This window comes from Homo sapiens, chromosome 7, assembly GCF_000001405.40.
Source record: "Homo sapiens chromosome 7, GRCh38.p14 Primary Assembly".
NCBI lineage: Eukaryota > Metazoa > Chordata > Mammalia > Primates > Hominidae > Homo > Homo sapiens.
The window spans coordinates 155,863,859-155,875,938 of record NC_000007.14 but is presented as its reverse complement, the minus strand read 5'-3'; the positions used below and the strand labels follow the sequence as shown (position 1 = coordinate 155,875,938).

Sequence of the window (12,080 nt, the reverse complement as noted above, 5' to 3'; positions counted from 1 at the left end):
AAGACAGAATATTTACCAAGTTAAAAAGTAATCATTTTATTCCTAATCCACTAAAAAGATTTTATCAGCATCTCCTAGAAGATCATCAAGATGAATATTTTTTCCTGTCCTTGAACCTATTGATGTGACAAATTATATTAACAGTATCCTATATTAAGCCAGTATCTCATTTCTGACATAAATCTTTATTAAAATTAAGATGTAATATTCTTTCAATATTCTGCATGATTTGATTAGGTAGCATTTTATTTACAATATAATGCATTGATAGGTATAAATGAGGATGGTTTATAATTTTTTTATACTATTTCAGCCAGGATTTACATAAGAATTTTGCTATCTTTGAAAAATGAATTCAGGACGCTTTTCATTTCACTGTTGGATATTTATACAGCACAAAAAAACTTGCCACTAAAATTGTCTGTGTCATGGAAGTACGCATTCTTGTTTTTGAGATAATTCTTTGACAACATTTAAAATGTATTCCAATGTCATCAATCTATCCATGTTTTAAACATCTTATTAGCCCAGTTTTGACCATCTTTATTTTCCCAAAAAATAATCAAATTTATCAAAACCTAAAAATTTACAAGCAGGATTTTATAATCATGTTTATTCTCATGTTTACTCTCTAAAACTTCATATTATGTTCATATCTCCTTTTCCATTTCTAATTTTATGCATTTGTATTTTCTCTTTATTATTTGACTTTTGGATGTCTTTTTTCCCCAAATAACCAATTGATAGATTTATAACCCATATGAATATTCTTCTGTTTTCTAACATAATAATTTTCACATATATCATTTTATTTTCTCTGCTTTTCTTCTTTTGTCTTTCTGCTTATTTTTTGTCTTTTTTTCCACTTCTTGAATACCTAGCATATCTATCTATGTTTTTTCCTATATGGTAATAAATGAATAATACAGCAATAATATGAATGAATAATATGGTAATGAATGAATAATAAATGTTAACTCCATATATTTTCACGAATACTGTTTTGACCACTCCTGTAATAGCTCATAAGCAGGATTCTATCGATACTAACTAAACAGCAAGTGCCATTTTGATTCTTGCTTTAATGCCACTTATTTTGTTGAATGATTCTTAATTTCCAAAAAGTTTAGGATTGGGGCTAAAACTTTTGGTCAAGGCTGACATAGCATATGAGCAGATCCGGATCTCAATAGTTGGAGGTAGATGGGAAGGCAGAGGGAATGTGAACAGAGACACGGACACGCACAGCCAAAGTGGCAAGTCACCAGAGTCCTGTGGTCCCAGCTCAGGAGGATGACACAGTCAGGACCACACAGCCAATGAACCTTTCAGGGTCTGGGCCTCCAGGCCAGTCCTAGGACACTGACTAGCACCAGAGAGGGGTGCACTCCTGTGCTCTCTCTCTCTCTCTCTCCCTCCTTTCTCTTTCTGTTTCTCTTCCTCTTTCTCCCTCTCCATCCCCATCTCTATCTCTCTCTATTTCTACATCAACTTCTTCTGAAAAAAATAAAAACTTTCTTTCAAAAAGGCACTATTTAAAATCTTAGTAATGCTCTCAAACCATGAAGTCTCCAATAGAAATCTCATCACCATCGCCATAAACAAATGTACTTGAGTGTGTCAGAGCCGTTTTCTCTGCCCACATGCTGGCAGAAAGCACAGCCTCCATGGTTGAGAGCTGAAACTCACGAACAGCTCTTGCCATCAGAAAACGGGGGCTTCTAAGCAAGTATCTGTCTCCCTGGTCTGCCACTGCCGCTGCCTGCTTGCCACCATTCACTGCTGACAAGCAGGTGCTGTGCACGAAAGTCACCCTAGGAACTAAAACCTGTTGTAAAACAAAGTGCATCTCCATGTGCCTTTTTGGACTAATTTCAAGCCCCATAGACTTGTCCCTACCAAATCCAAAGGAGCTTTTAATTTTGGATATGGGTTTGTGTCGTTCTTTCTACCTTTCACCATCTCCAACATGATCAACAATAGCCACGTACGTCCACGATCTAAGAAGAGAGAGAAGTGGAATAAGAGCCATCACTCACAGCCAGGCATAGTAGCATGCACCTATGGTCCCAGGTACTAGAGAGGCTGAGGCAGGAGGATTACTTGAGCCCAGGAGTTCAAGGCTGCAGTGAGCTATGATCACACCACTGCACTCCAGCCAAGGCAACAGAGCAAGACCCTGTCTCAAAAAAAAAGAAAGAAAGAACGAAAGACAGAAAGAGAGAGAGAGAGAAAGAAAGAAGAAAGAAAGAAAGGAAGAAGAAAGAAAGAAAGAAAGAAAGAAAGAAAGAAAGAAAGAGAAAGAAAGAAAGAAAGAAAGAAAAAGAAAGAAAGAAAGAAAGGGGAGCATCACCCATGCATGAAGCCAATGCCTCCCTCATGGCTGAGCAGAAAGAAGCTCCTCTGAGGCCTGACTCCCACCAGCATTGCAGCTGGGACCCCAAGGTTAGCGCCAGCATCATATCTGGGACCCAAGGTTAGCGCCAGCATCATATCTGGGACCCCAAGGTTAGCGCCAGCATCGTAGCTGGGACCCCAAGGTTGGTGCCTGCAGTTTTCACATGGCATTATGCACTCCTCATCATGCTATCCACCAAGGCCCTACCCGAGTCAGTGTAATCATTTCTTAAAAACAATGCAAATGGAAGACAAAGTTATTTTGACCAGCTCAGAAGCTGAAAGGCCTTGGCTGCCTCATGGCAGACAACAGAAGAAAAGACTGCAAACAGATAGGAAAGAAAACATGATTACATCACAGAGGTGACATTAAATCAATAGAAGCAGCACGAGATCGATGTGCCTTTGCTCGTGGTAAGAGCAGTGGGCTCGTGCATATTTTCAGATTGTGCCAAGATCGTTTCCTACTGGAGTTGTACAAAGGAAGACTTTGGGGGATGACATGGGCGGGGCTGCTGTTTTCTTAAACGTCTCATTTGATTCTTCAAGTATGGCTCTATTTTTCTTCCTTAATTCCTCAATACAGTCAATCAGTTCCAGCCCTGTGCACAAATGAGACGCCAGTACCAATACTAGCACAGGCAGCCGGGTAATTGCCAAAGAGAAGTTACTCGGAGTTAACCAGTGGAAATTGAGGCGCTGTGATTTGCCACTGCAATGACCAGACTGAAGGAAATCAGGTCATGCAAACAATTCACTTTCAAGGCTCTGCCTTTGCATCACTTAGTCTTGGACCGCGGGCCAGGGCCACAGAACAGCCCTCAAAGCGGGAGAACAACAAACCCCATGAATCCATGTTTTAGCTGAGGCAGTATCAGCAAAGAGGAAATTTCACATTGAGAAAGTGTCCCTGGGTTCTAGCACTGATTCTGCTGCTAACGATGAACTTAAGCTCTTTAAGCTCTCTGGGCCTCAGTTCTTTTTATCTCTACAATAAGGCTGTAGGAGCAGATGATCTTAACATCTTTTATTATTATTATTATTATTATTATTATTATACTTTAAGTTCTAGGATACATGTGCACAATGTGCAGGTTTGTTACATATGTATACAAGTGCCATGTTGCTGTGCTGCACCCATTAACTCGTCATTTAGCATTAGGTATATCTCCTAATGCTATCCCTCCCCCCTCCCCCCACCCCACAACAGGATCTTTTTTAACCTCCAAAATTTTTATTCTACAAAAACTGGACTAAAATTCCCCTGGATCATGTTTGCACGGTGGTAACCAAGCAAAGAGGCTAAAAAATATTGGGACATTTTTCGGCCACTCTGGACACATCATAACTAAATAATATTAAACATCCCTAAATGGAATGTTTCATCAGTAAAGAAAATACACATATAGCTCAAGCTATATCCTGCCATCGATCTGAGCACGGAACAGAGGCAGGATATGGCCATGGGTTTGCATTTGTTATTAATAGGAAGGCTGAATTTTTCAGGACAAAAATAACATTATCTTCTGAACTAAGAAAATGTGAAGCTGTAAATAAAAATATTAGGTTGGTGCAAAAGTAATCGCAGTTTTTGCTGTTACTTTTAATGGCAAAAACCGCACTTACTTTTGCACTAAGCTAATAGGTGTGCTTGCCAGCTGAGAGGACAGTATACCTGTTATTGCTCTTCAGAATCTCATCCTTGGGACTCAGTGACTGTTCTGGGCAAAAATGTTCTTGGATTCCAGTCCAGGGAATTATAATTTAGCAACATGAACCCTGGGCCAATTATCTAGAAATGGTGAAGACAGATTAACAGGGACCGGCGGCTCTGAGGGCTGGAAGGAATGCGTAACCTGGTGCCGCACCTGTGTCTTCCCTGGTAGCAAAAGAGAGGTCCCAAGGAGGCCTCAAGAACAAGGCAGTCAGGCCTCTCCTGCCTGAGAAATCTACCACATTTGGAGAAGAAGGAGAAAGAGGATTCCAAATCTCATCAATACTGCAGCTGCCATAGTCCAAGCAAAAGGATGCGATGGTTTGAGAAGAATGATAGGCCTGTGTTCTGCATCATAACAGGCAGAATTTCTGTTATCCATGCCCGTTTCTGGACCTGCCTCCTCCCTTGTGAAACAGGAGTGACCCCCTTCCCGCCGCTGAGCTCAGAGAGCCCAGATGGGGGCCTGGGAGGCTCATTCACCGGAGACCTGTTGGCCTCAGACAGTTTTTCCATCCATTCTGAAAAGCTTCCGGTCCTTTTTCTTATTTTTCGGAAAGTTTCTTTAAACAGTTTCAATATGGTTCTTCTTTTTAGGGTGTTTTGTCCTGTACTGTGTTCCCCCAAAATGTATATCTTGAACTCCTTATCCCAAAGACTTCGGAATGTGACCACATTTGAGAAAGGGCCCTTGAAGAGGGAATCAAGTTAAAATGAGACAGTTGGCTGGACCTTAATTCAATCCGACTAGCGTCCTCATAAGAAGACACAGACACACACACAGAGACGGCCATGTGAGGACACAGGGAGAAGATGGCCATCTGCAAGCCAAGGAGAGAGGCCTCAGGAGCAGCCAACCCTGCTCACATCTTGATCTTGGACTTCCAGCCTCCAGGGTTGTAAGACAATACATTTCTGTTGCTGAAGCCTCCTGTCTGCAGTGCTTTCTTATGGCAGCTCTAGCAAACTAACACAGGGCAAGTGAACACAGTAAACAAAAATTCCTGCAAGGCAAATGGTTGTTAAGAGAAATAGTCCGTTGGGTGAAGTGGTGGCAGGCAAGAGCTCAGATTTAGTACAGGAGTTTGGGGGCCCTATCCTGCCCCGCCCCACCGGCAGACAGCCTCAACTGCCCACAGCAAAGGGGAAGAGACCAGGGGAGGCAGGTCCTGGCTATGCTTGGGTCTGGGGAGCTCGTCCTCAGGTGCTGTGTGGTGTTTCAGGAGCTCCCAGGAGGGGACAGCAGGCCGGCTACGAACAGTGGCTAAAGGTGGGGCATTTGTGCCTGGCTTGGAGGATCAGATGGAGGAGGAGAGGAGACAGCATTCCAGGCCTGAGACAGGATGAGCTCAACCCGGGTGGCAAAGAGGAAGCACGTGTGGGGTGTTTGAGGCAGAGGGAGTGCCCAGAACAGCCACCGGGAGCAGTGGGTGGAGTTAGAAAGGGTAAGCCGAGATACCACGTGGAACTCAGGGCTGGGGCTCCTACGGAGGGCTCTGAACGCCTTGCTCAGGAGTCAACTTTGGACAAAATGAAGCTGTCCACATCTGAAAAACACTACTCTCCCCTTCACCACCACCCCCTAAGAGAAGACAAGCTGAATCAATGCACATTTTTTATTAATTTTAAAAATATGTTTTATTGATCTTCAAAACTCTTTTAAGGAAAGGGGAGTCATTGGAGATGTTCCAGTTTGGGAAGGTTGGTGCCCACGCATGGCGACCCTGGCCCATGAGAAGGATCAGTTTGGGAAGGTTGGTGCCCACGTATGGTGACCCTGGCCCATGAGGAGGATCTCCAACGGGGTGGACGAGGAGACTGTGAAAGCCCCTCCCCAGAGAAGTGCGGCAGGTCCAGGCCCCGAGAAGACCCAGGTATGGCCGCCGGATGCCTCCGTTCCCCGTTCCCTCCATCCCTGCCACGAGCCTGTGAGCTCACCCAATCCCGATAAGATCACAGCCCTCAGGGTGCACGGTTGCAGGTCCATTCCCTGCAAAATCAGAGTTAATTAATACAAGGCCATGGACAGAGCCCGACAGTGGGGGCCTATTCTCCCCCAGCTGTGCATGAACAACTCCATGTAATATTTATAAACCAAGTTATGCCTGTGCACTGAAGAGAGGCTGGGCCCTGAGGACTATTTTGCTGGCTGTATTTCATGAGTTCAGGAGCTCCATAGGGAGGTGACAGGCAGACCAGGACCCTCGAGGCACACTCCACACAGCAAACTCTGGGCTCCTGAGACCTTTAGAGGAAACTTCTATCCCACTCCACCCTAGGGCTGATGCCTGTCTTTGAGAAAGGCCTAATATCAAACTGAATTTACTCTACAGATCCAAACGGACAGCCAAGGTATGGCTGGCCAAGATGCCAAAGAATCCAAGGAGTCGTGTAGAAGAAGGGAGACCAAGTCATACGCTCTGTTCCTGGATTTCTGCCAAGGCCCCAAACCTCCCGCTTGAGCAGCTCGGATCCTAAATGCAGCTGAAGCTGCTTCCTGTGGCTCCCTTGAAGCCAGAAACCACTGGCAGGGCCTACACCACCACCCACCCCCATCCCCAGGCCTGGGGTCACTGTCCCACCATTAACAAGAGCTAGAAATGTGCTTTGTTGTGTTGCTAAATAAGTCTTGTTCTGTGACTAAGACTTTGGGGGTTGTTTGTTACACAGCAGAAGCTCGTCTGTCCTGTTCGATACAAGACCTATGTCTCCGCTTTAGAAACTATCTGTTGACTGCAGGTTAGGAAGGTGAAGCTTTCCTCACTTACACACTTCTCACTACCCCTTGAACAATAGGTGCCAGCTGTGTTTTTTTTTTTCTATTACTTACCTTTGCAAATTTAGATGATATTTTCCATTTCTTCCACCGACATTAAAGGTATCTCTTGGCTTTCCACCATGTGCATCAGGGTGGCAGTAAAGCAGTCTTCCTCTGCCCTCCTGGCTCTCCTTCTGCCACCCTACTTCCATCAGTTATCACTTTACCTTTTCATTGTGGGGAATCGTATCAACAGCATTCTATCTTGAAGCCACAACCAAGTCTTCCGGGCTTTATTCCCAGGTTGATTCTAAAAGAAAAATAATTTTTTAAAAAGAATGAATGCATTTATGTGATTATGACTGTATAAAACTGTTCCTTCCAGGGCCAAGTAGTACAGTAAAATTTTTTTCTCTATAGATCCAATGTTAAGATCTTCTGCCACTCAAGGGAGAAGGGTCCCAGCATCAGAGTTGAATGGATTCCCTCTTCTTGTGCTCCACCAGTTTCTCGGTATCATCTTCCTACCTGGAACATGGCTTTTTTGTACTGTTTTGGGGCTTTTCCTAGACATTATTATTAGTCCTGCCTAGCTGGTATGCCCTCCCTCTTCCTTCTGGCTAAACAGAACTTGACTTGTTCAGGTGACAATATGCCAGCCTCAGGAGTCACAAATAGTCCAGTCAGTGGGTCTCAAATCTACCGATTAGCATCACCCAGGAAACTTTATATGACCACACATGCCCAAGTGCCACTCCATGCCAGCTGGACAAGATGTCCTGGAGTGGGGCCTCATCACCCATTTATTTTAAGTTGAAGCCAATCATAACCATTCTGCTTCATTTTGCCAGATACGCACCTTCTCATCCCATCTGGCAGCTGGAGGTGCACATAGGACCCTCCTGTGGCCAAACAGACCTAAGAAAAGGTCTGCCGGAAAGTTCTGGAAGTTTTTCCTTTGTGACAAGAGGAAAGACCTTCTCCACCCACCCTCATTGCTCCTTTCTTGCCTTTGAATGCAGTATGGGTACACTGTGCCTGAAAATATGAGAGCCACCTGCTCATCATGAGGTGACAAGCTGGAGAACAAAAGGTCCTCGTGCTGAGCATGGCCAAACAGTGCAGTGGAAATAGCCAGGTCCTTGATGATGTCTTTGAGCTTCTGAGCCAACTCAGAGATGACCCGTCTCTGGAGTTCTGTTAAGTGAATAATAAATGCGCTCATGGATTAAGCCACTCTCAGGCAGATGATGTGTTACTTGCAGCCAAAAGCTCCCCAATTGACAGACCTTACTATGTTAGAGAAGAAGCATTTCTTCTTCCACATGCCACTACTATCTCCCAGCTCCTTTTTCAATCTATGACATAATCCAGTTTTGTTTTATGGGGTCCTCTTAATGCCCACTGACTTCGTGTGCTAACTGGGCTCTGTTGCTCTCTGAGGCTACAGTATAACATCATTCTTGAAGGCATTTTCCCTGAACTCCCAGGGTAGTGCCTCTGTTTCTTGTTTGCCTTACCTTATCTTTATTGACTTTCTGAAATATATCCTCAGGTAGCATTTTCAGCAAAGGCCTATCAGAAACAAAATGCGTTCACCTTGCCCTTGTGCTGAATCATACTTGACCTTGATGCGGCTGCTTATGAAAACACTGGCTGAATTTCATCCCTTTGTGGATGGCCCAATTCCCCCTCCTTGCAAGGTCCTCTATGCTTTTCTTTATCTTTAGTTTTCTAAAATTTCATCAAGATATGCAGGTCTTTTTTCACTTATCATGCTGGTCACTCAGTGAGTTCCTGTTATTTTGAAAATTTGTGTCTCTGTTCAGGTCTTGAAAGTTTCATATATTACTTCTTTGATAATTTTCTTGTCCATTTTTTCTCTGTTCTTTCAAGAAATATTGCAGTCTGATATTTTTCTTTCCTGAATTGATCTTTTATGTTTTTTGTCATTTTTCTCATAGTTCCTATTTTACTCTGTGTTCTGGAAATTTCCTCAACTTACCTCCCAACTCCTCTTTGATTTGTTTTACAATCCTTTTGTTTTTATTTCTGAATATTCTTTCTCAGGGTTTCATAATATCTGTTCTTTCTTTCAAATGCAGTACGTGCTTGAAGAATACTTCAAAATATTTCATTTTGAAATTAATTTACAATCCCAGAATTGTTTCTTTTCTGTCTGGGGTAGTTATCCTTATTTATTCTGATCTTCCTCTTTTGTGCTGCTAGTAGGTCTTCTTTATGTATTGAAGATTCTATGATTCTATGTCATTAATACTTAAGACAGAGAATTAGGTGGACTTCTAGGAAGGCAAATGGGGGTTTTACCTGGACACAGACCTGTTTTCCTGCCATTTGTCTCCTGAATGGGCTGATTGGTTAACCAGGTACTTTGTGTGCAAGTGTGGCGCTTAACGACTGGCCCACAAGGAGCTCACCCCTGAAACCGGGGTCCCAAAAATGCCAGGCTGGGAAAGGCATCCTGAAATTCCACAGGAAGTCTGTCCATGTCTATGGTAAAAATCCTGTTCCTGCAAACCTGCCACCTGCATTTCACTTGGGGCTGGCAGTGGGCCGGGGATGGGAGGCAGACCCACAGGCCAGGGGAAGAGCCAGGAGCATCCCCAAGACAGACTGGCGACCCCTCCGTTTCCACTCGCTGCTCCCACAACACCTGTGGCCACACCTGCAGCTCAGATCTGCCCCACCTGGGAAGCAGCCACACCCAGTCTCCCGTTCCGTCCAAGGCTGTGCTTCCCCCACTCTGCCGCCTGGACCGGCTTCCATCCACGTCAGGTCCTGCAGAAATCTGTTGAACCATCTCGCCGCCTGCCACCCGCTGTGACCTGCGCTGTTATGGGTGTGTTTCTGCATTCCCCTTCGCTGGGCTCTCAGCAGGATCTGATGCTGCAGGGGACGAGCAAACGGGTTGGCAACTTCTAAACATCAACTTCTCTCATTAAAAGAATCACATTCAGCTTAATTACTACAATAAGTCACGCTGGGCAGCTCTGATTCCATGAGGCTGTGCTGGACAGCACCAGGCTGCTCGCCCTCCACCAGGTCTTCTGGGCCCTCTCTGCTCTTTTGCCTGAAGCAAGCCACACACGAAAACAAGAGGAAACTAACACCCAGGGGTTCCCCTCTCCCTAAAGAGGAGGGTAGCTGTGGATCAGTGCCCCTGCCTCCCTTCCTTCTGGAGGCAGTTCTGGGAATCATTCCTGGCTTCTCCAAGCAAAGCCCAGACTGCCTTCGGCAGGAGCCCTAGTGACCTCCCAGCTCTTCCTCCCAAGTCTCATGCTCCTCCGCCCTCGCTCCTGATTTCTGGGGTCACCTCCCTCATAAATATGTTCCCCAAACCCTCATTTTGGGCTCTGCTCTCAGTGGGGCTGGACCTAAGGCAGGCGTAGCATCCTCCCCAGGGGACATGAGAGTTTCTGTTTATTGAAACATGCTGACATTCTTAGAATGGTGATGGCTGGAGGCAGACCGCCCAGGGAGCTGGACAGATGAACAGGTCCAACCAGGGGCTGTCGGGATATTTGCTCACAGGGCCATGACAGATCCCAGAGGGAGAATAGGGAAGGGAACAATGATGAGGAGGGCTTCATGGGGAGGACTCTAAAGCAGAAGTCAGCCAAGGCCTGGGTGGCATCCAGCTCAGAACCCTTGCTAAGATCTAGCCACAGTCAGCGGCTTCCAAGCATCTGCAACAAGGTCCAAGGGAGCACCAGCTGCACCTCCTCTGGGCCATGGGCAACCAGGGAGCCATGCTACAGACAGGGCCACCCGAGGGAAGCTCCCGCCCACTCCAGCAGAAGGAGATCTGGCAAGGCCCGTTAGCTGGTTAGTCTGTCCAGGAGAAAGTACGGTGGAGCCAGTTTTTCTTTTGGAGAGAAGAAAGCCTAATGGTGCATCCTGAAACCTCGGGACATGTTCTCATGCTCTCACCCTCTGTGCAATAGTGTATTGAGCAGGAACCACTCAGGGTCGTGTAGCAGGGGCTGTGTATGGTCCTCAATATCGACCTCCCTTTCCTTTTAATAATAGGATTTCCCTCATGACCTCCAGTCTTAGCTGAGGACATGGCTGCCTAACCAGAGATTGCATTCCCAGCCTCCTGGATAGCTAGGTTTGGCCATGCAACTTTCACCAATGGGCTATGAGAGGAAGAAAAATGGCAACCTCTGTATCACTAACTTAATAGGCCATTGTTGGTTTTTGGGGTTTCTTCATGTGTCCCCTTCTTCCCTTGCCCCCTTTCCTATGGCCAGGAAATTGTTAGGAATAAGCGCGCTGGACCCGGGACAGAAGCCCCATTTGGGAGATCCTGGAGCCCTGCCTGTCTTGAAGGAGCAGAGCCTCTGTAGCATGATGTGGAAGAGAGATGACTCCTGTTTTTACTTAAGCAGCCACATGTGAAGGTTTCTGTGACAGCATCTTAGCCTTTATCCTAATAAAAAGCTAGCATAATGGGGGATCATTCAGGAAGGCCTTCCTGAAGAGCTGGTGCTGAAGCTGGAACTGAACAGAAGAGAAAGGAGAGAGAATGGCAGCACGGTGAGGGCAGGGCTGCACCCAGAGAATGATGCTTACCAAGGACAAGCTGTTGCCTCGGGGTCGGGAACGAAGAAGGAAGAAGACGCAGTGAAGGGATTTGGAGCTACACAACCAAGAGATCTTCCTTCCTTAGAGCGGACCCCACAGGAGACAGCTTTTGAAGAAAGCAGACACAACTCTAAATGTGTCAACTCGTAGGTTCATATTCTTGCCTGCTGGTGTGAAATGTGCCCTTCTGCCACACACACAAAAAACCACAGCCACAAGTGTGAGGGGGGCATGGGCCTGGACTAGAAGGTCCACACCGACTCTGCGAGGAGACAGAGTGGCCACTGTGCATGCAGCAGACCGGAGAAATGTCAGGGAATTCACAGCACAGAATTGCTCTTAGAAAGGAGCTGTACTTGCTTCCCCAAAAATCCTTGGTGAGTGCCTGGCGTCGAGGATGCAGTCAGGGCCGCACTGTGGAGACCACGATGGAAGGGGAGCACAGGTGAAGCTAATGAGCCCCAGAAGCCTCCTCCGCTGTGTCTTAATGAAGTCTGCAAGCTCCTGGGGTAACCTGTGTGTGTGGTTTTCCCAGGGGCCTGTGAACAGGGCTGGATTCTGTCTTAGGATGACAGTCAGCTCTGGACACCCAAGGGTGCAGAG

At 46.0% G+C, this 12,080-nt stretch overlaps 2 annotated features.

Annotated features, from left to right (window-relative positions):
• Positions 1,462–1,511: an enhancer, noted in NCBI's record as "active region_26904". NCBI's record gives its function as "activates an Ori minimal core promoter by ATAC-STARR-seq in GM12878 lymphoblastoid cells {active_cell/tissue: GM12878}" and the evidence as "EXISTENCE:reporter gene assay evidence [ECO:0000049][PMID:35858748]".
• Positions 6,059–7,258: an enhancer, noted in NCBI's record as "BRD4-independent group 4 enhancer chr7:155661375-155662574 (GRCh37/hg19 assembly coordinates)". NCBI's record gives its function as "activates an origin of replication core promoter dependent on BRD2, P300/CBP, MED14 and CDK7 cofactors, and independent of BRD4, by STARR-seq in HCT116 cells {active_cell/tissue: HCT116}" and the evidence as "EXISTENCE:reporter gene assay evidence [ECO:0000049][PMID:35650434]".